The 26,894-nt window shown below is 44.6% G+C and overlaps 1 long non-coding RNA gene across 1 annotated transcript, besides 1 other annotated feature; it reads right to left on the bottom strand.

Annotated features, from left to right (window-relative positions):
* Window positions 1-26,851, bottom strand: LINC00589 (long intergenic non-protein coding RNA 589). Its single transcript, NR_026765.2, has 4 exons — window positions 26,757-26,851; window positions 4,898-5,165; window positions 3,619-3,761; window positions 1-893 (listed from the first exon to the last, which is right to left on the bottom strand). It is a non-coding gene; the product is annotated as a long intergenic non-protein coding RNA 589 (long non-coding RNA).
* Window positions 15,554-16,412: an enhancer, noted in NCBI's record as "H3K27ac hESC enhancer chr8:29594328-29595186 (GRCh37/hg19 assembly coordinates)". NCBI's record gives its function as "activates a minimal SCP1, AML or CMV promoter by ChIP-STARR-seq in naive H9 embryonic stem cells {active_cell/tissue: H9 hESC(naive)}" and the evidence as "EXISTENCE:reporter gene assay evidence [ECO:0000049][PMID:30033119]".
* Window positions 26,852-26,894: the final 43 nt, after the last annotated feature.

Consider the following 26,894-nt stretch of genomic DNA (forward strand, 5'->3'; position numbering starts at 1 on the left):
TTTAGAAATACATTTTCAATCATTTTAATGAAAAGGGCGACAGCAGCCATGGTGTGTTCAGATACTCAGCATGACACCGCCTGCAAGCTCTATTGTCTTTCGCTGATTAAACTGGGCTGGTTGAGAATTACATTTCTGCACCCATGGTTCCGCTGTGGTGAACACCGGGAGTAAGCAAGCTCTTATTCAGGTCCCAAGCAAGCCACAGCCAGCATGTCAGAAAGCAAGATTCAAGTCAGGGTCCCCTTGGCTTCGACTGGCTCTACTGGATCAAACAGCTCCAGCGGGGACAGAGGCAGCAGGAAAGAGCTTCCTCAATAAGGAAATTGAAGAGCAGGAGGAAGGAAAAAATAACCTGAAACTCAGATGGGCAAGATTAGGGGTGGGGAGTGAGAGCCAGAGATCATGTGTCAGCACCCAGAGCGGAGGAGAAAGAATTCTGATTCCAGTCCACACCACCCTAGACTGCAGCATTGAGCACCCCAGGGCTGGCGTTCATCTCAACCCCCTCATTTTCTCAGTTGAGGAAACAACCCTGGAGAGGTGAGGTGACCCGCTTAACATCATGCCACGTGTGTGGGAGAGAAGGGACATGAACCCTGTCCCCAATAATCCATGCTGCCTCTCAAATATCACATTATTTTCCTTGCACTGTTTCCTTTTGGGGTTCTCGCTGTGGTTTGAAATGAGAGTGTCAACCTTCAGGGACAGCAGGACCTGCTGAGTCCATGGAAGGGTCTCAGTGCTTATTGATTGAATGGAGGTGTCATCCTGTGCTTTCGAGCAAAGCTTTCAGAACCAGAGAGATCCAGGCTCACTTTCCAGCTCAGCTCCGTATCATCTGGACACTCTTGGGAAATTCACTTGCCCTCTCTGGGCCTCAGTTTCCTTTTCTGTAAAATGGGGACAATGAGAATTATATTGACCTCTGAGGGCTGTTTCGAGGAGTAAACAAAAGAATGCACAGAAAGTCTCTCTTCAGAAAAGAAGATGAAAGCCCAAAGAAGATTAAGTAATTTTGTCCAAAGTAACTTGTTCTTTAAGATGTGGCCGGAACTCAAAAATCAGTCCGTGGGTGCTGAGAAAGTCAGTGCTCTTTTGTTCTCTTTTATTATATCCTGGACACGATGGTTCATGTGTTGAGGGCCCAATGAACGTCATTCACTTAGAATTCAATACGTGTGAATTATTTGAAAAAACTGCAGTAGCCCCGAGTATATAAAAACTACCATAACCTAATGTCTATAGTAAAATATTACAAGGTCAGAGCTACAGTGAACCCTGTCAAGTCTGAAAAGACTTTAAATAAATCTTATCGACAAAAGACACTGTGGAAAGCTGGAAGAAGGCATTCGTAATGAAGACACAGACATCTAAGGACTGAAGTAATTTGAAACACGGCATCAGAAGATCTGCCCCTTTGTGCTGTATGGTCTAGACACACTGTTCTACCTCTTTGTGCCTGTTTCCTTATTTGTGCAGTGAAGGGTTAGGACTTGGAAATGGCTGAGATCTCACAAGATTTAAAGTCACCAAATCAAACCTAGAATTCAACCTAGAAAGATTACAGGCCCAAAAGTTTGTGAAATTATTGAGAAGGATCCCTTGACTCCAGGTTGAATTTAGAGAGAGAAATTTGCTAGCTGCCACGTGGAGTAGGAAAGGATCTCCTAGAAGTCACTACATCAGGAATCCCACAGCAACTACAGCCACCACTGTTCATTGACATTATGTCTTCAATAGTAGGTGAATTTGCTGCTACAACCAAGTATTTTCTTTGCAACTCGCATATCCTTAATAATCTCCTTCCAGAGCTGTGCTCAGTAGCAGCTATTTCCGAAAGGAAATAAACGTTTCCATTGTTCCTGTTGCAATATTGACTTCCAGTGAAGATAGTTTTTGACATTTAAAGGGAAGAGCGCCCCCTAGTGGAAGTATAATCCAAGCCGACAGCCAAGACCACCATTAAAAGCTGATGGGTACCGTTCATGTTTGGGAGACCTGTCTTACAGTCCCCTTCCAGAAGTGATTTATGCCACCAAGAAAGTACACATCAGGCTTAAGCATCTACCAAGAAAATATACCCTGTTATAAACAAAAATAAGTTAGATTCTTTTTTTCTTTCTTTTTTTTTGAGAAGGAGTCTCGCTCTGTCACCAGGCTGGAGTGCAGTGGTGCGATCTCGGCTCACTGCAACCTCCGACTCCCCGGTTCAAGCGATTCTCCTGCCTCAGCCTCCCGAGTAGCTGGGATTACAAGCATGCACTACCACATCCAGCTAATTTTTGTATTTTTAGTAGAGACGGGGTTTCACCATGTTGACCATGATGGTCTCGATCTCCTGACCTCGTTATCCGCCCACCTCGGCCTCCCAAAATGCTGGGATTACAGATGTGAGTCACCGCACCCGGCCTACATTGGTAGTTTTGGGTTATGATAAAGAGACAACAGACAGAGCGAGAAAAGGATTAAGAAAATTAGGAACAGACAAGAGAAGTGGCATGAAAAGGAGGAGACAGGACAGAGCAGACACAGGAAGAAGAATGACATGAAAATATGGATTTCTTCTTGGTATTTTTCTTCCTTCATTTTAGATGGAGGGAAATAGCTTATTCTAGAATAATTCCCTCCAGAGACTCTGTTTTTAAGTGGAACACCTTGTAGTACATTAGACAGGCAACGACTCCATTCTTGACAATGAAACAAACCACCACAACTCAACACCTGATTGGACAGAGAGCAAGCACCTCTCACTCTTGTTCACCTGCTTGAGGCCTTTCAGAAGGGAAAAAAAAAATGTGTCTGATGCCAAATGAGAGCTTCAATGAATGAATGCCACAACAACTATGGCCGCTACTGTTAAATTGACGTGTGAGTTGGGCAGGAGATGGGGAGGTATTGATGAATTACAGACAGACAAATTCAGGTGCTTTCTGCAGTTTTGTTCTAAGTGACATCTGTCTGTGTCCACGGAGACCATTCCTCCCATCCAGGTGCAGCACGGGGACCCGCCATGACTTTGGGGGTGGATGCATAAAGAGTTTTCCATTTTAACAGTTATGCCTTTATAGTCATATGTGTTAGAGAAACTAAAACTCACCTATCAAACCTATGATTTTAAGAGTTCTATTTTTAACATGAGGCTGAGTAGGTTTTTCTTTAAGTGAGCGATTTTAAAGACAATATTAAATAAATAGTAAAGTACGTGGAAAGGAAGGAGAGGTGGCGGAAATTATGAGAGAGTGCTGAATATCACCGAAGCTCAGAAAACACTTCAGGAAGTGAGCAGAGGTTATTCAAGGGTTATCTTTCTATCATTCTCTCCCCTCTCTCGAGACTGGTCCTTCTTGCATTCATTTTATCTATTGTGCTTCTCTAGTTTGCCCTGTGGTCCTGTCTTCACCGAACACATTCCTACTGCTCTGAATCAATGACAATGTCAATGGGCAGGACAGTCCTTCTGTGGTCCCATTCAGCCATGGCTCCAAATTCGCGATCTAGCAAAGGAGGGGTCTCTAGATTGCCCCCAGCATTGTATGATGAAGGAATGGCCTCCAAATCAGCCATTTTCCCAGGACCTTCCCACCCTCTCCACCAGCACTCCCCACTCCTTCTTACCCCAGCGAGAAGAGCAGTGCACAGTGACATGTGTCAAGGGCCCCAGCCATGGAAAAGATGGAATCCTGCTCCGAGGAGAGACAGTAGCTGAAATCTTGCAATCCTGAAGCCTCTTTTTCCCCAAGAAGACTGCCGTCTACACCCTTGTTAGTCAGAGAAGGAAATAGTTACATTAAGAAATTCTCTGAGCCTCTATGAGAAACTCCTTTCTTCCCAGAGACCTCAGGTGAGCTTTCCCAAAAGGACCCTGCCCGTGTAGGCTTGGACCTGTCCTCCAGGGCTCATTTTAATGGAGTGAAAAAGCATTCCTCAGTCAATGACATGACCTAGGAGTTCTTGTGTTGTTTTCTCTTCAAATTGCCATTGCAGGAATGCAACGTGATAACTAATTTACAGTATCATATAATCACCAAGAGCCCCCTCTGTGCAGCTGCCCTTCCCATCGTCCATGTTTGACATGCCACCACTCTTCCACTCTGATGTCAAGGTGAGCCTCTGATAAGAGAGTGTGTTACTCTGTTTGTGTTGCTATAAAGGAATACCTCAGACTGGGTAATTATACAGAAAAGAGGCTTATTTGGCTCACAGTTCTACAGGATGTATAGGAAGCATAGTGTCAGTATCTGCTTCTGGGGAGGGCCTCAGGACGCTTCCAATCATGGCATAGCGGGAGCCAGCAGTCACATAGCAAGAGTAGGAGCAAGACAGAGAGGAGGGAGGTGCCGGGCTTTTTTTAAACAACAGCTCTCTAGTGAACTCATAGAGTGAGAACTCATTCATTACGATGAGGACAAGGCACCAAGTCATTCATGAGGGATGCACCTCCATGACTTCCCAGTAAGACCATCTCCAACATTGGATGTCACATTTCAATGTAAGATTTGGAGGGGACGAAACATCCAAATCATATGAGAGGGCCAATCAAATCCTAGAACACTGAAAAGAACAGCAACCACTGATCCCCACTGGGCATGAAGGGTAGCCAGAGTGCCAGTCCTACTTCCCCACCAAGACTCAAAACTGAAGACAGCTTAGCCTATTTTGGATGCTATCGACTGGTACTAATGATTTCATTCCTATCTACACGCAGAGTTTGGGGGCATATATGCAAAGTGGTACTAGTAAATGTTTTAGCCTTTGCCAATTCCTATGGTATAAATACTGTCATCATAGCTAATTTCAATCTACGAACATGATGTCAACTGACTCACAAAATTCCTGAAAATTTAACAAGCAGCTCTTGCAAGTTTGTTTAAGTTTGCTGCAGCATAGCACTTACCTGTATGTTCTAGAGTTCTTTAGCAGTACATGGTACTGTGTGGTGGGGGATGCCAGTGCTAGCATCTCTGACATATTCCTTCATCTTCACCTTCATCCTTACTTTTCCTTCCACTTTTCCTCAATTTTTAAAAACTCCTCACGTCCTCTGTTTTTCTCTACTGGCTCTCATTTTGTATGGACATTCAGGCCATGGGGAAACTGAGATGATGCATTTCCATTATACTATGAGGATCACTCATTCTGTGACAGCTGAAATTTGGGCAGAGCTGAAAACAAGCAAATTAGACATAAAAGATTCCACAGTTGTTACAGATACTGTTCAAATATAATACATAATTGGGCACCAATAATTAGAGATCTGAAGTTGAATAACCCACAGTCTTGCCTTCTAAGGGTCATGGATGAATGAGAAGATGCAAATAATATCTCCATGGCAGACATTAGCAATTGATTCCAGAATTCACATACCGCTGTTTTTTCTTTCTCAATACAGTGATCCCTACTGATTAATCACAGTTGGCACTGAAAATGGAATGTATTTGCCATCCCTGGACTATGTGTATCAAAGCACTAAGTGCAGGAGAGAAAGGACAGGAAAGGTGTAAAAGGCAGAAAGGTGCCAATGGAGGGTGCCATAGACAAGTCTCACTGCAATTTATATCTAATACTGACCCTGTCTGTAGACTTACCTCTAGGTGCATGCCATCTCAAGGTTGCCATGAAACACTACTTTTTTTGTCCCTAGGATTGTCCATGGCAAGAACCAAGGAGAGGGCACAGGCATGCCTGTGTCTGTGGCTGTGGGAACAATGGAAGAGGCTGAGCTTATTGCTCTGGAAGGCTGCTGTTTGTTATTAAAAGGGATCATAAGAATGATGGAAGCCAAGCTGTGCTTTCAGAGACGGGTCCAAGCGTGGAGTGCCGGCCATGATCCATTTCTTCCAAAGACAGGTGGCTGCTGCTCTGGGGGTGGGAGGGGAGCTTAAGAAGGAGACTCACACTGCCCCTGTATGTAATCTGGTTCCTTTCCACATTGCCAGGGGCCTGGGAGATCCCTGATATTTTATCTTCAAATGTGATCTGGGATCTATATATAGTTGGACACATAGATGAGATGAGTTCTTTTTAATGGAAAAGAAAGGAACTTTTTTTTTTGTGATGGAGTCTCGCTCTGTCATTCAGGCTGGAGTGCAGTGGCATGATCTCAGCTCACTACAACCTCCACCTCCCAGGTTCAAGTGATTCTCCTGCCTCAGCATCCTAAGTAGCCAGGATTACAGGCATGCACCACCACGCCCAGCTAATTTTTTTTTGTTTTCAGTGGAGACAGGGTTTCACCATGTTGGCCAGGCTGATCTCAAATTCCTGACCTCAAATGATCTGCCCACCTTGGCCTCCCAAAGTGCTAGGATTACAGGTGTGAGCCACTGAGCCTGGACAGGAACTTAATACATACTCTATCATGAGCACCCATTCTAACCCTAATACTAAGCCTCGGTGAGGGAGGATGGTGTCCTGGAGCAAATGGGCAATAACAGCAGGGTTACAGGCATTGCCTTGTCCTGGGGTTGATGTCTTTGCTGTTATCCACTGAGTTCCTAGACTCTGGAAGCTTCTTGTCTCAGACCTAATGTCTCTAGGACCTAATGGCTTCCCTGAGCCTCCTGACACCCATACCTCTGACCTAGAGTAACATAACCTTGCCACACCTTAGTTTACATTCGTGTGGCTCTTTCCAAAGCTTTGTATTCTTTTCAAAGGACCTTTTGAAAGGATCTTAGTGAGAAGTAACCAATGGAAGGGATCTTTGATGGTGAAATCCAGGCACTGTAGTCCCCCCTGACACTTCCCCCATAGCACTGCCTTAACTACTGCTTTGCTAAAAGACTGATCTTGTCCACACACTGATTTGTAGAAAGCAAAGCTCAACATGAAATGAACAAGCTGAAAACGCTGGGCCAAACAGGGTCCTGAGCCCTTAACCCCTGGGGAGGACTGCAGCGAAGTTCAGAGAATAACATCACTTGCTCCACTTGCTTTTTCTAGATTCTGATCAAAAGGGAACAGACCGACAGCCTCGATATTTTGCTGGTAAAGTCATCACTCAATCACAGCATCCCCAGGGAATAGGAGAGGCATAGGATCTAACCCTTGCTATTTTTATTTTTGGAGACACAAATGAGGCAGTCGGTTCTGGAGGAAGTCACGAAAGAAGCTCTGAATCAGATGGTATTTCACCCACCATCGGAGACAGGATGACTTGTGCTATCATCTACCAAATCAAAGAGCTCTCCACACTTGCTAAATGGGACACGAAATGGCCTTGTGCAGCTCCAGCACAGAAAAGGCAAGGACTGGGGTACCAGTCAGGCTGCAGACAGAGGCCCTCCCTCCTTGGGGCCTCAGCTTTCTGGAAGGGAGGGTGGGAGTGTGGGAGGAGAGAGAGAAATCCCATGTCTACCACTGCCCAAAAGAGCCAAGGTCTTGGTGCCAGCAGGAAAGACAGTGAACATGAGATGTTTTCCACTCAAAGTTAGAACTAGAACCAGGGGTAGTAGAGGGTGCAGAAGACGGCTTTTTTTTTTTTTTTTTTTTTTTAAGAAAGAGTCTCACTTTGTTGCCTAGGCTGGAGTGGAATGCAGTTGCATAATCTTGGCTCACTGCAACCTCTGCCTCCCGGGTTCAAGAGATTCTCCTGCCTCAGCCTCCTGAATAGCTGGGACTACAGGTGCCCACTACCAAGCCAGGCTAATTTTTGTATTTTTAGTAGAGATGGAGTTTCGCCATGTTGGCCAGGCTGGTTTCAAACTCCTGACCTTAAATGATCCGGAGGGCATCTCTTTCTATGAACCAGAGCCACCAGTGTCAGTTTTCACTCCCAGCACCCCCTGTGCTCCCTGGGACTCTCCCTTTTCTGTCTCCTCATGTTCAATTCCAGATTCTCCTCCCAGCTCTTCCTCTAACTCCCTGCGACCTGGGCAAGTAATTTTTCAGTATTACCATATTAGAGAAAAGGAGAATGGGTTTGACCTCTCAATTCCCTATATCCCAAATAGCTATAAGCTCCTTTGGGGTGCTGGCTGTGTCTTATATGAGTGGTCCCCAACCTTTTTGGCACCAGGGACAAGTTTCATGGAAGACAACTTTTCTATGGACTGGTGGGTGGGGGGATGGTTTCGGGGTGATTCAAGCCCATTACATTTATTGTGCACTGTATTTCTATTATTATCACATTGTAATACATAATGAAATAATTATGCAACTCACCATAATGTAGAATCAATGAGAACCCTGAGCTTGTTTTCCTGAAACTAGCTGGTCCCCTCTGGGGGTGATGGGAGACAGTGACAGATCATCAGGCCTTAGATTCTCATAAGAAGCATGCAACCCAGTTCCCTCACATGCGCAATTCACAATAGGGTTCGTGCTCCTATGAGAATCTAATGCCACTGCTGATCTGACAGGAGGCAGAGCTCAAGCAGTAATGCGAGTGATAGGGAGGAGCCGAAAATACAGACAAGCTTTCCTGGCTTGCCTGCCGTTCACCTCCTGCGTGGCTTAGTCTTGGTCCATGGCCCAGGGGATAAGGACCCCTGTCTTATGACACTTTATTTCCCTAAGCATCCAGAGCTGTGCTTGGAACATACAACATACTTGAGCATGACCTTTTGATGTGATCTGCTCACACAGGATTCACTCCCAGCTAACATAGACCCTTCCTTCATCTTAAAGATTCCCAAGGAGTTTTATCATGAACCAGGTGTTTGGGCAATTAAAAAAAATTATGACAGCTATTTTGATTGAACACACTGCAGAGAGAGTGTTCGGTGCTATTTTGGAAGGAGCCTATTTCATTACTGCAAAATTCTCATTTTAATTCTTGGATGGCCATTAAAATGGAACCCGCTTCCATGTGAAATGGTTACCCTGCATGTTGTGAAGCCTCCCCAGAAACTAGGACCTTGTTTCCTCTAAAGGCAGCCCATCCATTCTTCCAGATTTTATGCCACTAAAAATTTCTACTTTAAAAATGCTGAAATCTATTTGTATAGCATACTTCCATTGGTGCTACTCTACTCCTTTGGGTATTTATGAGAAATAAGTAAAGTTATAGGTGAATATTTTATATTATAGGACATATAGGTTATATTTGGTTTATTTTTGTTTATTTGAATAATCTAAACTTATTTCCTTTTAATGAACATTTATTTTGATTGAAGAAAAAAATAATACAGGTCCTAACAAACCCCTCTCGCCACTCGCACCCTAGCCTTCCAAGGACAGCAGCACTTTGGCTGATTGGATGTGCAGGGACCCTTCCTGGCCACAGAGAGGAAGGACATGTTCCCTTCCTTTGCTCTAGGCCTCCTGAGGGTCAGCTGTAACCTAGCAAACTTTCAACTTGGGGACTGAGGGTAAGGGTCCCTCAGGACATGGGTGTCATGAGGGCTCCAGGACTGGAGTCTCTGGGGATGGTGCTTTGGCTGAAAAGGCCAGCCATGTTTCCAGGGGTAGGACAGGATCCTTCCAGCATGATGAGAATACTGTGCACCCTTACAGCTGGCAGGGGTGACAGTAAGATGAGCCAGGACAGGCAAGAGTCTATATACTTCTACCATATCTGTTATGGATGCCCAAGGAGACTGGGCACAAACTGATACTTAATTTTTTATTCAAATCTTTTCATTGATAAAATGAGATAATAGGCTGCTCTGTCTATGGAGTAGCCATTCTTTTATTCCTTTACTTTCTTAATAAACTTGCTTTCACTTTGAAAAAAAATGAGATAATAACCCATTACCTCGTGATTCCTTAAATGTCTGAGGAAATTAATGTCAGGATCTGAAGCTACTCTAAGAAGAAAGGCTGAATTATGATTAGAATTGTGGATCCTCAAAGAGCTGTGAAGAGACATTGTGTGAGCCTGTGAACTAACGGCCTATAGATAATAAGAACTGATGAGCAGTTCATAGTTTAAGTTTTTACTGTGTGCCAGGCACTGCTCTAAGCACCTCACATGAATTAGGACACTGTGTCTTCAAAACTACTCTTTCAGGTAGGTACTATTATTATCTCTACTCTACAGCAAGGAAACCAAAGCACAGAGGTTGATACTTCACCCACAATGCCACCTAGAAAGTGAGAGCCTGGCCAGAGGTGGTGGCTCACACTTGTAATCCCAACACTTTGGGAGGCTGAGGCAGGAGTTCAAGACCAGCCTGGGCAACACAGCAAGATCCTGTCTCCAAAACAAAAAAAATAAACGGGTGTGGTGGCATGAGCCTGTAGTCCCAGCTACTCAGGAGGCTGAGGCAGGAGGATCCCTTGGGCCCAGCTGCATTGAGCTATGATCACACCACTGTACTCCAGTCTGGGTGACAGCAAGACCCTGTCTCCAAATAAAATAAAAAAATAAAATAAAATAAAATGTATTAGTCCATTTTCACATTGCTATAAAGAAATACCTGAGACTGAGTAATTTATTAAGAAATGAGGTTTAATTGGCTCATGATTCTGCAGGCTGTACAGGAAGCGTGGCAGCATCTGCTTCTGGGGAGGCCTCAGGAAACTTACAGTGAAGAGCCAGCACTACATAAGGTTGAAGCAGGAGGAAGAGAGAGAGTGGGAAGGTGCCACACACTTTTAAACAACCAGATCTCACAATAACTCAGTCACTGACCATTATGAGAACAATGGGATGGTGCTAACCCATTCATGAGAACTCCACCCCCATGTTCTGATCACCTCCCACCAGGTGCCACCTCCAACACTGGCGATTTTGTTCAATATGAGATTTGGTGGGGACAGAGATCCAAACCATATCAAAAAGAAAAGAAAGTGAGAGCCAGACAGTCAGCCCTGCTCCTCACCCCACCACAACCCTGGCAGGTGGTTATGCTGAACATTCTCGTGGGCTCACAGCGAAGTGTGTTCATGAACTTGCATACAAATAGTTATGTTCATATTGACATTGATAATTTTATCTTTCTTTAGTCTGGTTTCTCCTTTGCTACTGATCCTTCGCAAGTATAAGGATTGAAATAGCAAGGACAGATCAGGGGAACTGACTGAAGAGTGACCTGTATTGCCCATGGGAGCTGCGGGCTGAAAAAACACTAAAGAATGTCCCAGACAGCAAGCAAGCAAGGCAGTGCTTAAGTTGGTGCTGGCTTAAAAATAATAACTCCCCTCAACTAACAATCTGATGTGAATCCTGATAGCCTCCCTCTGGGCTCCCACCTGCCTATGATCTTGGAGACACAGAGCGAAATCATTTTCTGCAGCCAACTCTCTAACTACATCTGCCTGGAAGGCAACCAGCGACTCACCTCTTGCCCCCGATGTCTGCATCTAGAGGTTCACACAACCTAGACCCAGTTAGAGCCCAGGCAAAGGCTTCAGCCTTTTCCTGTGATGGAACAGGAGGATGCAGAGACCAAACCATAATATGTGAAACATAAGGACCTAGCAAATCATAGAATGGAGTCCCCTCTTTTTTATAGGGGATAACACTAAAGCCAGAAATGTTAAGTCATTTGCTTCAGATCACACAGCTAGTGCCTTATTCATCTTTGTTTCCCTGAAGTCAAGCATAGGAGGTATCCAGTAAATGTTTAATTAGTTATCTGCAGGAGTTTCAGGAGGCTACTGAACCTCTCTGGTTTCAGTTCTATCGACCACAAAATATGGAAAATCGTCCCTGCTCTATATGTTCTACAGAATTATTGTGAGATGAGGATCCAATAAGATTTATCGTCTGCTCCTCACCTTCCCTCCAAATATAATCACTGGCAGGCAAGAAAAGTGACATGTTATCTTTCCTCTTTTCCCCTCTCCTCTGTCTTCTAGATTTGGAAGCAAAGCATCGTGATGTCCTAGCCAAGACCAGACACTGAAGCAGGAGAGGACATTCCCTTAGATGTAGGTGGGAAAGCAGAGAGGAAAACAATTGAGATTTGATGGGGTTTTGTCTTTGGTATCTTTTTTACCAAATTAACTATATTTTGTTTATTTCTCCTATCACAGGGAGAAGAAGTGAGTGTATTGAGACACTCTGGAGATAACCTGGATCAATCACTTCATTTTAGAGATAAGGACCTGAAAGGAAAAGGAAACCTGCCCCAGGTCGCACAGCTGGTTCCCACCAAGTCTCCCGACTCCTGCTCCTCTCCTGAAACATGAGCCTTTACACGCAGCTTCCAGAAGGGAGGGTATCATTCTTGGCAAGGCTTGAAACTAAAGCAGTTGGTATCTATAGCCAAGGTATGCTTGGTCGTATCTGGGCAGCTGACTGACTTCTGGACTCAGCCCCCTCCCCGACTACTTAACTGCACATCCGTGTATTAAAAAAAGTACCATATTTATCATCATATTCATGCATATCCTAAGTATTTCATACATGTAAAACTGTGCTACTGTATTCGCCACCCCCTCTATCTTGTGTTTTCTTATATTTTTGTGAACCCATTAATTGCTGTTTTTTGTTCGTTTTGTTTTTACATTTCAACATTTATTTTAGATTCAGTGCGTAGATGCACAGATTTGTTACCTTGGAATATTGTGTGATGCTGCAGTTTGGAGTATGGATCCCGTCACCCTGGTAGTGAGCACAGTACCCGTGAGGTAGTTTTGTAACCCACTTCCCTCTCCCTTCACCCTCTGATGGTCCCATCTATCGTTCCCACAGTTATGTCCATGTATACTCAATGCTTAACTCCCACTTATAAGTGAGAACATGTGGTGTTCGGTTTTCTGTTCCTGCATTAATTTGCTTAGGATTATGGCCCTAGCTGCATCCATGTTGCTGCAAAGGACATGATTTCATTCCTTCCATTTCTTTAAAGGGGATGGCTTAGGGTTCTGAGGGGCATCCTCATTACAAATCCAGCCTCCTTGACTCTGGAGCCTCCCTTGACTCTTGCAACAAGTCTGGTTGGACAAGTCTTAATGCTCTATCCCTTTGATGTCTGTGATACTCCACTGTCCCCTTTTCACAGAAAGTGGTCTCTCTGACCACTCTTCCCCTGGGGTTGCTCCTCCCTCCTAACCTGGATATGGGCAGAGAATCCCATGGCCTCAGCAGTAATCCTTAGGTAGAAGACCCCTCTACTTTAGCTCAAGCCCCGCCCTCTCTTCTTTGCTCTAAACTGTATTTCTACATTCATGCCCCTTCACCAGCCCCTCCTCAAACCCAACAGTGCAGATGAACAGGGGCCTCCCCACCCCGACAGTCCTTCCTTAACTGCCCATCTTCACCCTGCCTGACCTAGAAACCTTCCACTCACCATCACTCCTTTCTCTACCCTGACCCCCAGCTCCAAGTTCCTCCTGTAGGTCCTACACTTGCCATGCTTCTCAGTGTATCCCATTCTCTCTGTTCTTATACTGCCATAATCTTATCTCTGGCAGCACAGCCATAATCTCCCAGCATCCAGACATTTTCCCCCTCAACTCATTCTGCAACCTCTTCTCAGAGTTGTCTTCCTAAAGCCTGGATATGATCTTGCACCTCTATGGCTCAGTAACCATTGATGGCACCATGTTGGTTATCAAAGTCATTCCAAATTCCTGAGCCTGGCATTGCAGATGCTTACATGTTCTCATCCCATTCTTGTAAGTTTCCAGAACACTCACCACGTGCCATGCTGGGTACTGTGCTAGATGCTTTTGCATTATGACATGTGCGCTAAGCACTGCAACTTTGAAGTCATCAGTGGAAATGGTGACAGATATAGGTGTCCTCTAATATTTTCAACCTTCAGCAAAATGAACTCAGAGCTGAGTGATGTTTTCTAAGTTCCATATTTAAAAGAAACATTCAATGATGAGGAAACATCAATTGATTATGGGAATTATTAATAACCAACATTTTTGAGCACTTACTGTGTACCAGTCAGTGGATTAAGCATTTACATACATTGGTTTATTTAAATGTCACAAGAAACTCATAAATCATTATTATGGCTCATTTATAAAAGACAAAACTGAAGATTGAAGAGGTTAAGTGACTTGCCTGATATCAGAGACCAGGAAGCAGTGAAGCTCACCAGGAACCCAGGTGTGTCTGATTTCCAGGTCCTTGCACTTCATCTTTCTACTCTGCTGCCTTAGTAACAACAGCTTGCAGGAAGTGTCAGGGAGTGCCTCCCTCCCTCTCCCTCCCCAACCCCACCCCATTTATGACTTCATGCTCCTGGTTGCACGACAGCAAGGGATCTAGAAAGCACATACCTTAAGTATAATGTGTGAGATTCTTATTTAAAATTCCACATTTTGGGCCAGGCACGGTGGCTCACACCCAGTACTTTGAGAGGCCGAGGCAGGTGGCTCACCTGAGGTCAGGAGTTTGAGGCCAGCCTGACCAATATGGTGAAACCCCATCTCTACTAAAACAATACAAAAATTAGCCGGGCATGGTGGTACATGCCTGTACTCCCAGCTACTTGGGAGGCCGAGGCAGGGGAATTGCTTGAACCAGGGAGGCAGAGATTGCAGTGAGCTGAGATCACGCCACTGCACTCCAACCTGGGCAACAGAGCGAGAGTCCATCTCAAAAAAACTAAATAAATAAAATAAAATTACAAATTTTAAGTGGGAGAAATGAGGAGATGTTGATCAACAGGTACAAACTTTCAGTTATAAGATGAATATGTTCTGGAAATCTAATGTACAGTATGATGACTATAGTTAATAACAATGCATTGTATGCTTGAAATTTGCTAAGAGAGTAGATCTTAAGTGTTCTCACTGCAAAAAAAAAAATTAAAGGGTAACTGTGAGATTAATGCTAATTAACTTGATTATGGTAAGAATTCTATACATATATATATATATAATCATTACAGTATACATGTTAGACACATACTATTTTTATTTGTCAGTTATACCTCAATAAAGCTAGAAAAAAATTCCAAATTTTCTACTGATAGCATTCATGGAATAATGGAAGACATTACAATTCTCATGACAAGACAATGTCAACGTCCAGCATTTTGATGTACTTGTATTGGCTGGGATTCAAGTCTCATCTGAAGCAATGGTAATAGCCTCTGTTGGAATGTTCCATCCCAGACCACGAAGCACTTTCCCACACTCTCTCCCTGAATTCTCACCAAGACCCTGAAAAGTGCTACTAGCCTCATCATTAAAAATAAATAAACTTATTAAAAATAAATAAACTGAGGTCACAGAATTAAAGAGACTTGTCTAAGGTCACATTACTTGTAACTGGTCAATTTTTTAACTGCTCCATGTTGCTTTTTTTTTTTTTTTTTTTTTGAGACGGAGTCTCACTCTGTCGCCCAGGCTGGAGTGCAGTGGCGCAATCTCAGCTCACTGCAAGCTCAGCTGCCTTGGTTCACACCATTCTCCTGCCTCAGCCTCCTGCGTAGCTGGGACTATAGGCACCCGCCACCACGCCCGGCTAATTTTGTGTACTTTTAGTAGAGACGGGGTTTCACCATGTTAGCCAGTATGGTCTGGATCTCCTGACCTTGTGATCTGCCTGCCTCGGCCTTCCAAAGTGCTGAGATTACAGGCATGAGCCACCGCGCCCGGCCCCCATGTTGCCTCTTAATAACACCACTGCTTCTTGGATACAAGTTATTCTCAGACAGATCTCATTTTACAGAGCTTTTCACAGTATGGGTAACAGTTACTGGACTAGAACCACATAAAATAGTCACTGCACAGGATCATTCATCGCAGAGGATTCGCTGAATCCCGAAGTCTTCCCAGGATATAGAATAGCTCTGCTGAGCCACTTCGGCCTGAAAGGATTTGCTGTAATATGATTTCACCTGAATGTTTAGCCATGGCTGCAAATTCTGCTTCAAAGAAAGGGCCTCTCTTTACAAGTGACTGTTGTGGCTGTTTCTCTGCAGCTGGCATTCCAGAGCAAACCAGGGATTAGAGGAGTTTCTCTTTGGACTTAGAGATAAAAAAGGCAAGCTAGGGACCCACACAGTCTACACCCCCTTCCCCAGCTGGTGATGCCTTTTCTAATTCTGATTCAATGTGCCCACCTGGTTGTCATTATACAGGGCCAGACTTACAGCCTGGGAGGACAGACCAGACTTCCCAAAAACTAAAACCACCCTGGGGCTGCAGGTCTTCGTTTGATGAAGACAAACCACAGACCCCAGCAGGAAAGCTGGGGAGGGGATGGAGAAGGAGGCTAGCAGAGTCTCTGATCATACTCTGGGTGCCCTTGGGCCACTGACAGACACCCTGTCCATCAAAACTGCTCACCCCAAGAAAATGATCAATGACAAGCAGCCCGTGGTCAGACCCTGCAATAGCAAAATGATTCCAGGTGCAAAAGGGCGATGTCTGTGCATGCAGGGTCAGCTCATGGCACTCACAGGATGAGGCACAGGATGGACGTGTGAAAGGATTCCCCACCAACACACACATACACACACACTCCCTCTTCTGACGTCATGGTTACCAAGGCAACTCGACATGAGTCATCATATCTCAAGGTGGATTAGCAGAGCAGGAGAAAGGCTTTTGTTTGTTCAAAGCTCTTCCCCTTCTTTCCTCTTAATAGCTCTCTCTGATGTTGATAATAGCCAAGTACCTTTCATACCCTCAGAAATCCTAAAATTTGTGTGTTTAGCTGGTTTAATCTTAGAAAGCAATCAACTTTTTCTTGATATTAGGTTGGGGAGGGAATCCAGGGCTTAGTTATAATGTTGCAATTGGCAGAGATCTGAAATGATTTCTAAAACTATGAGGGTGGTGACTTAGCAATCATATTCCCTCTGCACTGAGGCCCACCCCTGAAAGGTGCCTGGCCTTCTCAGAGAAGCCGGCCCTCCTAGCCCCACTCCCCTAGCATCTGAGCAAGCAGGCACAGACTAGGCCCTGGGGAGCAGTGTGCTTGCAGACTTTCTATTTTGAGCTCTGCAAGTGCTTCACAGCTCATTGGCTGTGCATGCCAAACAGGAAGGTCCTCCCGGAAGGGCCAGGGCCACGTACTGGAGGATTTCACCTAGAGCAGAAAGAAATCAGCAGAGAAAAAGGGATGACCCGTCATGGGGACAAAGCACAATATCACAAAATAAGGCCATTCCCCTGTCCTGAGATTAGATTGAACACTCTCCTCGGAGATGCTGCCTGGATCTCTCATGGAAGCCTTGAGAGGCATCCCATAACTAATTTTGGGGTGGACCCTTTTCAACTGGAAATGCCAGGCAGTGATTACTGAATCTGTCTTCTATCAGAAGCCTTATACCTAGTAGGCATGACCACGGGTTCAAATCACCTCCTAATAATTAATTCGTAGGCAAAAACAAGTGCTTTGAGCTCAAGAAACAAAGAATGATGGTTTCTTGGGTGCCAGTAAAACCAACTTTAGGCCTCTCTCCTCCTTAGCTCAAGGCGCCCCTGGTTCTTCACCTCTGTTTTAATAGGAAGCCTGAGTTAGGTTTTATTAAAGTGGAATTTCTTGACCTGGTAAAGTTCAACTGAAGGTAACTGTTATTCAATGTTTGCACAAAAGAAGCACAAACAATTCCATGTCAACTCACCTGTCCCCACCTACAATGCAAACAGCAGCTGTCAAGACTTTTCATCATCGACTGTTATGAAAAGCCTAACATAGACCAGGAAAAGTACTTCTTGAGCAAAATGACTCCTGGTATGGAATCTGTGGTCACTAGAGCTGTTAAAAAATAATAATAATAAAAAATAAGTGCTGGGGAGAGAACTAGGCTTTGTATGAAAGAAAAATTTTTAGGCTGGGCACGGTAGTTCATGCCTGTAATCCCAGCACTTTGGGAGGCCGAGGTGGGCAGATCACAAGGTCAGGAGATCGAGACCATCTTAGCTAACACGGTGAAACCCCATCTCTATTAAAAATACAAAAAATTAGCTGGGCGTGGTGGCGGGCGCCTGTAGTCCCAGCTACTCGGAAGGCTGAGGTAGGAGAATGGCGTGAACCCAGGAGGCGGAGCTTGCCGTGAGCAGAGATCATGCCACTGTATTCCAGCCTGGGTGACAGAACAAGACTCCGTCTCAAAAAAAAAAAAAGAAAAATTTTTAAATAGTATTTACTTTCATAATCTTTTCTCTCTAACTTCCAAATAGGCCAGCAAATATTCCACTGGGCCCATGTGGAGCTGGGCTGCCTCCCAGGGTGCATGGCCATTCTTTTCCTGTTGCCTTCATCTCAATTAGTAGAGAAGGCAAAAGTTTGCTCACATCAATGACCATGATGTCTGAAATCCTCGCTTCTGGCCACAGTCTCATGCAATCCAGGCCAGTGTGGTGGGCTCTGTAACGTTTTCCATTGGCTTTCCTGTCTCACTCTCAGGGAGAATGTGTTGTAGACATAATAGACATTGGCAAAGGCACTGCACACCCCCTGCGGTGTTCTGTGGAGTTAGATCCAAGACATGCTAACAGGCTTGGCTTTCACTCACACGGAGCTCATAGAATTTAGAAGATTTTTGAAGCAGATTATTAGAAATCATCCTTTCCTCCTCATTCTAGATGAGAAAAATAAGCCTCCCGAGAGGTGTCATGACTTGTTGAAGATCACACAGTGTCCTAAGTGGCAGAGGCTAGAAGTTGAGCTTCCTGGCTTTAAACCCAGAGTGATTAGCACTAGAATGCAGTGGGGGTTGAAGGAAGAGGGAAGGCTCCTTTACATCCCCTCCTGATACATTCATTGTCTTTTGTATCTAATTACTATTATTAACAAAAACAACAGCAGCAACAAAGATAGTTCTGGGGATAGGAAAGCAATGCTTTAAATGACCAAACCTTGAGCATAAATTATTTGCCTTCTCAGTCAACTCCATGAATGGAGGCCTTGCATGGCGAGAGAGGCCAGTGTTTGGGGGTAGAAGTGGGTCCTGTTAGGAGCTGAAAGAGAAAGGGCAAAGAACCATGAAGACAAATGTCAGTGACACCATAGCCAGCACCCGATTTTGAGTGGAGAGAGTCATGGAAACCTTCCAGAACTCATGGCTAGATTGCATTCTCAGATCCAGCTCCTCATCAGCAAGGAGATTTAGTGATCAGCCTCCTTTTTACCTCCAGTCAGCCCATATGACCTTGACTAATTCCCCAGGAAGTGTTAGCTGCAAACTCTCTGGTTGCTGAAAAGCTCACACCCCCACGGAGGGAGATTGGATGACCTTAGCCTTTTGAAATTACCTGCTGCAGCTCTTGGCTCAATTCTGTTTCATTTGCACTATCTCTGGTGTCCTGACATTTCCCATTCACAGTTGCTCTCACTGGCCTCATTTCCTACCTCTTTGAAAAGGTCTTTATGACCACCTCTGAATCAAATATAAAAATGCCAACTTATACTTATCCTGACGTGACTCAATCACCTGAAAGTTTGAATAGGTGGATTTTGGTGGTTTTTCTCACATTCAGTTTTCAGAAGACGAATCATTTTGCTTTGTGGAATCATTTGAAACTGTTTTGCTCTGCACAGACCCACAAAGTCACAAAAATATGTCTTTGTCATCCCTTCCTACCTATGTCAGAATCATAACTGAGGTGCTTCCAGCTTCACTGATCTAGAACCTCAGTTTTCTAGAGGCATATTTCCTTGGCTACTAAATATCTGAACTCACTGGTGATGTCCTTGACATTGGTATAACTGGAATAGTTCTAACAGGGAGGTTCCCTGGTTGGGTAACTCGCTTCTGCTTGCTGTAGGAGTGACTTCTTTTCCCTGCGTTTCCTCTTAGCTTTTCTGCTCCAAATCTCTAAGTATGAGGCTTGGAATTTGTACCTGGCACAGATATTCTTAGCTGTGCCCAAGGGCCCAAGCCTAATGGGTTCTTCCCAACTTCAATGACTTCTTTCACTTTTGTGGATTCCTCTAACTTCTAATTGTTGTTCTCTTCTATATCTTAATGTGCCCTTCTTCTGCTGAAACTGCCTTCAGGCTGCTCCTGGAATTATCTATTCCCTTTTCAACTCTGTTCATAGGCAGGCTGCTAAGTGATTCCTCCCCATACCTAAGCTTGGCTGGGAGCTCCTTTGTAAATTCCACCCTCCCAAAGCCAAGGCTGAAGAATATAATGTTCAAATATCCCCCAAGGGATTGCAGGAACAGAGGAACCTCCAGTGCTTGGTGGAGCCTACAGGGAAGGTTGAATAAAGTTCTGTTAGTCCCTAAAGGAAGACAGGTTGTGGCACTTGGTGCTGGGTTGAGAAATAATTGTAGTGTCACTTTCTTGGTGTTTACATGCTTGCTAATAAGCTGGCAAGCTTGCATTATAGGCTCCACTCTGCCATGCAGCTCCTGCTTCTAGAAGGTCCTCTAGCAGCCAAAGTTATCTGCAGCTTGCACCCCAGAAAGAATGCCCCCATGCTGATATCAGGCCACACAAACGTGCCTTTGTATGCATTAGCCATGGTTTTTTTAAAGATAACATAAATTTGAGTTTCGAGCAATTGAGGGATAGTGGAGCATATAGTAAAATAATCAGGCAGTAGAGTCAGACTTAACTGGGCTCAAACTCTGACTCAGACACTTACCAGATATATATGTGACCTTGGACAAATTACTTTAATTTTCTAAAAATCCCAATTTCCTCATCAGTGAAATGTGAATTCAAATAGGAAGTTATTTAAAGAGTTGGGTGGATTAAAGGTTAACATTTAATTTTTTATAAAACCCCATAAAACATGGTGGCGTGCACCTGTAGTCCCAGCTACTCGGGAGGCTGAGGCAGAGGAATCACTGAACCCGGGAGGCGGAGGTTGCAGTGAGCCGAGATCGTGCCACTGCACTCCAGCCTGGTGACAGAGCAAGACTTAAAAAAAAAAAAAAAAAAAAAAAAAAAAAAAAAAAAAAACCATGAAACGGAATTAATACCTTAAAAAAGCACTTATTTTATGCCAGGCTCTACTTCGGTTCTATCTTTCCATTAACCCTAAGGAGTCATTGCTATTATAACCTCCATTCTACAGATGAGGAAAGAGACACACAGAGATTAAGGCATTCGTCCAACATCCAGAAACATCCTGAGAACCTGGCAAACTCAAGGGACTTGTGGGGGTGGGGCTGCTCTGCTCCATGCCTTAGGCCCTCCCATCCCTAAAGGGCAGTGGGACCCCTAGGGGCCTTGGCCTTCATGTGTCTCCAATACTCAATTTACCCCATTTCCCTGGGGTGACCAGCTACCCAAGGAGCTTAAAGACCTGCACCTATGGGGTTGTCCCAGGGTCCTCAGTTGGGCCCAGACCCAAGAGGGTGTCCCATCAAGAGATTATGCCTGCCGGTCGGCAGAGTATCCTTTCATGAGATTGTGTGAGGCACTAGAATGGTGCTGACACCAAGATTTTAAGGTAACTCAAATTTCTGTATAGAGATGAGACCCTGTAAAAATATTTTCCCAGGGCCACACACCCTAAGGCAGCCCACACAATGTCCCCCTGCCAAGAAACCATAAGCCGGGACTGGAACCGTGCTCTCCATGTGCAGAACGGTCTCTCGGCAAGCACACGAATGCAGTGAAGTTATTATTAGATTTTAAATGCTTTGGGGAGTTTGAGCTAAAAGAAATCCCATGGTAAAGCAAGTTTGTAAAACAAAATGTGACTTGGCCTCTGTTTTTAAGTCTCAGTTCCAGAGGAGAAAGGCAGACGTTCTACAACAAAGAATGTGGCTGGTCTTTGACTAGGCTCCTGGGTGGGAATTTCTAAACCCTTGGAGTGTTCTGAGCGATAGGAGTGTCTTTGGTACTCATGCTGGGCCCCTAAGGCCAGGCCTGAGTTCATGCTGGTGAGGTGAGGTGACTATGCCCTTGACAGTTTCAGCATAGGGACTATCCAGGCCAGAAACGCCAATCATATGCTTAGAGGGGTTGGGGGAGTGGGGAAGGCTGCAGATGAGATCAATAATGTGGCTTGTATTTCAATCATGTGTGGGTGGCCTGGAAACCCCAGGGCTTGTGGCTGGGGTCTAAAGGGTGGGGAGTTTTTTGGGGGTCTGTGCTTCCAACCAGGAAAGTCTGCACCAACTCTGGTAGTTGGTGTCAGAATTGCACTGTAGCAGGAAATGGGAAGCCCTGTCCTGTGAAGCTGTGCCCCAGCGGGGAAGGGGTAAAAAGGGCAATGGAACAGCCCGGCTTCACATTGTGTGTTTCAGGACCCTCTATCTCCATCTGTACCTTCCCAAGCCTTGTCCTTTATCCTCCACCTAACACCTCTCCCCTGCCACAGCTGAGAGATCATGTCTGAAACACATGCTGTCCTCTTAAAAACCTTCAAGTGTCTTCCTTACTTATATCCTGTTACTATCTGCTGACATGTGGAGAAGAGAAATTAGGCAGATTAACTTGATCACCATGATATATCCCATGCCTGAATTTAGATTCTCTTCCAAGGACCTCAGATAGTTGACACATGTGTCCTGAAGACATTTGAAGCAGAATGAAGTCTTTTTCTCATGAGGCTGGATCAAGTAGGACTCTGTCTACTTGACTGTTTTGTCAACAGAGGCACAGGATGAAGTAGAAATAGTATCAAAGTGGAGATAAACGCCCTGAGTCTCGGTCATCTCAGGGACTGTGCTCTCCCAGGAAAAGCGAGAGATGGATGGCAGCTGCTGGAGAGCACATAAATGTCATTTCCAAGTGCCCAGGATTGCCATTGGCCATATCGATTGGATAATGACAAGGAGAGCTGGTTCGATTCCAAAAAGAGAAACTATGCAGAGGAGGCAAGAGGCAAAAGGAGTACTTAATTTTTATGAACCTGTTGGCGGGTGCTCCATATTAATATTTCATTTGTCAGTCTTGTCTTCTTTTTTATTTTAAACTCAAAATGAAGAGCAATGCCTAGCTCCTGACTGTAATCTCAGTAGGAGTGTGTGGTGTGTCCACATCCTGCTCCATGCCCCAGACCACTGTAGTTAATGACCACACATACAGGCATTGTGGAACAGTCTTCTGGTTTTGTAAAACAGTTACAAGTTGAATTTTGGGAATATGTAATCATTTCAAGGATTTTATATTTTTTAAAAAAATCATCCTACTGCTAAATAGCAGCCCTCTTGTTCTCAGCCAACAGCATGTGGAGGGGGTCTAACTTAGGGGCCATAAATAAATCTGGACAATAACCCTGCATAAAGCAATCTTATTCTTTCCCCCTTTAAGCTTCCACATCACCCCCAGCTTCTCTGTTGAGCTTATGATTTGGTTGCTAGGTCAGCCAGAAGGTGAATGGTTTCCTGCGTGGGTGAGATAGAGTGGTTGCAAAATGCGTATCTTGCCTCAACTCAGCAAATGGTGCCCCAGCTGTCGGGGGCACGCAGCATATTGGAGGCTGTGATTCAGGAAGGAGTACAAGGTGAATTGTATTGTCAAGCATGGTATTAAATGGCTGAAGCTGCCCAGCAGCTCCTTCCCTAACCTGTTTTCTTGTTAAAATGATTCTATTCCACTGGCAGGCACTAGACTGAGGTGTCCTCACAAAATCATGGAGTCTTAAGTTGAAAGGAAGCATTTGGACCAGCCCCTACTCTTTAGAGTGAGGAGTTTGATGTCCAGAGTATGAACTGCAGTGTTTTTTGTTTTTGTTTGGGGGTGGGGAACGAAGTGAAGACAATCCTAATGTGGACAATGAAATAGTGCTAACACTTTCCAAGAAAATGGCTAACTGAATCATGAATGCAAAATAAAAACAGTTTTTATGGGAAAAGATTTAAACCTGACAGTCCTAACCTCTGAGGAAATGCATGATATAGAAATAACTTGGACCAGTTCCCTGACAATGCCAATGATCCTACTCCAGTCATAAAGCAATGTGTGTGTCCGGGTTAGGGAAAGTATTTGATGGCTCCCATTCTACCTAGAAGCTTGTACCCTTAGTTTATCTTGGATCATTAATTCATGCAATCTTTAATTCATTCAATGAACATATTATAATAATTACCTACGTGTGATACGGTCTGGGAGCGAAATGGCAAGTAAAACATTTTATCTACCTTCAGAATCTTCCAGACAGGCAAACAATTTTTTTTCAATATGAAGGACTCAAACAAATGTATTATAGCAAGGCAGTTTTACGTACAAGGCACTCTGTGCCTTCCACAGATAGCCCAGTTTCTACTTCCATGTTTGGTAAGAGCCAGCAGCCATCGAAGTCACATAAAATTATTGTAATTGGTAGACATTTATTTTCAGACATTAAGTGATGGGAAGTAGTAGTAAGGATTTGTCATGTAGCATTTTATGTCTGCAAAGTGCTTTACGGTCATATTTTACAGCTTGTTCTACATAATAGTCATGTGTGAGATGGGCTGGAACAGGCTCTATTTTAGAGTGAGGAAGTGACAGCAGTCCTATGTATATCAGTGTCCTCTTTAAATACTATTTGCCTTGGGGTTTTAATAAAGATCATCACATTTTTTTTTATTTCTTAGAATTTGCATTCTGCATGTTTATATTTAGTTTATCCAGTCTTTTTATAATGGTTCAGAGTCCAAACTCAGATTCTGAATAGTGCAAGCCATATCTGAGTGCAACTGCCAAGATGAGCCATGGCAGACATGACCCAACCCTTTTAGTCTCTGTCATGATCAATAGCTGTTACCACCATTCCACTGGAATTCCATTTCCCCATTTATCCTCCAAGGTCAGAGAAAGGATCCCTCTGGTTTCAACCCGCGTTTCCTTCCAAGAAAGTGATCTTTGTGGTGGCCCTTATTTTCCTCTCTCCACCCACCATTTCTGTCCAAGTTTCTTGGGAATTGTGGCCATAATGGAACCACCATAGACCAGCTTCAGCAAAGAATGATCAACACTTCCTTACTTCTTTCTTCTGACAACCTACAGCTGAAGTGGAATTTGGGGGAGGCAGGAGTGAAGCTCTTGTAAAACCTCACTCTTTTGTTTCCTCTTTTTTTTTTTTTTTTTTTGAGACGGAGTCTCGCTCTGTCGCCCAGGCTGGAGTGCAGCGGCGCGATCTCGGCTCACTGCAAGCTCCGCCTCCCGGGTTCACGCCATTCTCCTGCCTCAGCCTCCCGAGTAGCTGGGACTACAGGCGCCCGCTACCACGCCCGGCTAATTTTTTGTATTTTTAGTAGAGACGGGGTTTCACCGTGTTAGCCAGGATGGTCTCGATCTCCTGACCTCGTGATCCGCCCGCCTCGGCCTCCCTGTTTCCTCTTTCCATTCCTTCAAGGGAGTATCCTGGGTCACTGTAGTCACCCTGGGAATAAATTTGTAGTCCAAAAGGACTAGCCTCTGTCCATGAGAAGCGCAATCTCATAGGGAACCCAGAAAGGCCAATGGGCAATTGCTAGTCAAAGCTTCTGGTGCTATGACAGTGCTAGGGTTTGTGGAGTAGAAGGGATAGATCCCTGCCTCAGGTCTGGGGGCTCAAGAAGGGCTTCCCAGAGGAAGTAGCCTCAGGACTTTGGAGTTAGATTGGAAATGCTGGTGCATCTTTTGCTTGGGAGAGACTTTGAGTCTAGGAGCCAAGGAAGGCCAAGGGGGTGGCCCAGGGGAAATAGAATGGACAGTAGGCTGCTTGACATTGCCTTTAAGCTCTAGACAAGAAAGGAAGGGAGGGAGGGAAGAAGGCTTCCTTTTGCCTTGCCGTGACTCAACCATAAGTCTCCCTTCAAAAACCATTCTAGTTCATGACCACTCAGCATATTCAAGGACAAGGGGTGCCTTTGGTTCACTCCTGCATTATGACTCTTGACATATGACAAGCAGCTGGGCAAGGCTCAGACCCAGCCAAAACATCTTCTGTCACAAAGCCAAAAAGAACTGCATGAGCTTTTTAAAAAATCACTACTGACAAATCCCACAACCAGTCTCAGTGCTGAAAGGTGAGTGAACTCAGGAATGGGAGTCAGGAAACAGCTTTTGATTTAATGTAGTGTGTGGTCTTAGCCACTCATTTGACTGACTTGGGCCTTATTGCCTCATTTAACTTATAGGATTAATAATACCTGCCCTACTTACTCAACAAGTTTGTTGGGAGGATAAGATCACATAATAAATATGAAAGGTTTAAGGCATATAAAAATAAAGCCCATGACTGTGTCCAGTGTTCTTTCAATGTGTTCATGTGCTTCTGCTTTGGAGTTAGGTATTGCTCTTATCCACCACTGAATGTCTGGGCTGTCCTGTCTTTTACCCTCAACTGTCAGGCATTGGTCCCCCTGCCCGCATTCACCTTCCCATGACACTTGATCAAAAGCTGCTACTCATATGGCCATGGCTGAGCCATTCCAAGCACTGAATCATGTCATCACTTAGCATCTTCAAAGTATTCATATGGCCCTTTCACTTTAAGACCTTTAAGCCCATATTCCCCAAGTCTATTCAGAGTCCAACACCAGTGGAGTGTGCCCCCTACAGTGGCTCAGAGAGGAAGCCTTCATCTCTGGACACCATAGTCCTGGGTTTGCCCACTGTGTCTAACAGCAGTCTCCCAACCTGAGCATGTCTTTCTTCTTCCTGAAGATGATCTTCTGGTGCACCTACCACAAGTGCTTGGGGCTGCTTCAGCAAGAATGATGGAAGCATCACCCCACTTCTGCTATACTCTCTTGTCTGTCCTTGGGGAGGGTTATGCCAACTGGCTCATTAACATAATCAGTATAGTTTTGACTGTGCCCTGACCAGCTAGGCTAACTGCCTAGCTCATATCAAGTACTCAGCAGGTGCTTGTCAAATAAACAATTAGATCTCATCATGGGCTGAGTTATGTCCTCCCAAAATTCATATGTTGAAGTCCTAACCTCCAGTACCTCAGAATATAGTTGTGTTTGGAGATAAGGTCTTGGTATTAGTCTGTTCTCACATTGCTATAAAGAACTACCTGAGACTGGGTACTTATGAAACAAAGAGATTTAATTGACTCACAGTTCAGCAGGCTGTACAGAAAGCATGGCTAGGGAGTCCTCAGGAAATGTACAGTCACGGTGGAAGGCAAAGGGGAAGTAGGCACATCTTCCCATGGCAGAGCAGGAGAGAGAGAAAGAGAGAGAGACAGAGAGAGAG

This window comes from Homo sapiens, chromosome 8, assembly GCF_000001405.40.
Source record: "Homo sapiens chromosome 8, GRCh38.p14 Primary Assembly".
NCBI classification, from domain to species: Eukaryota; Metazoa; Chordata; class Mammalia; order Primates; family Hominidae; genus Homo; species Homo sapiens.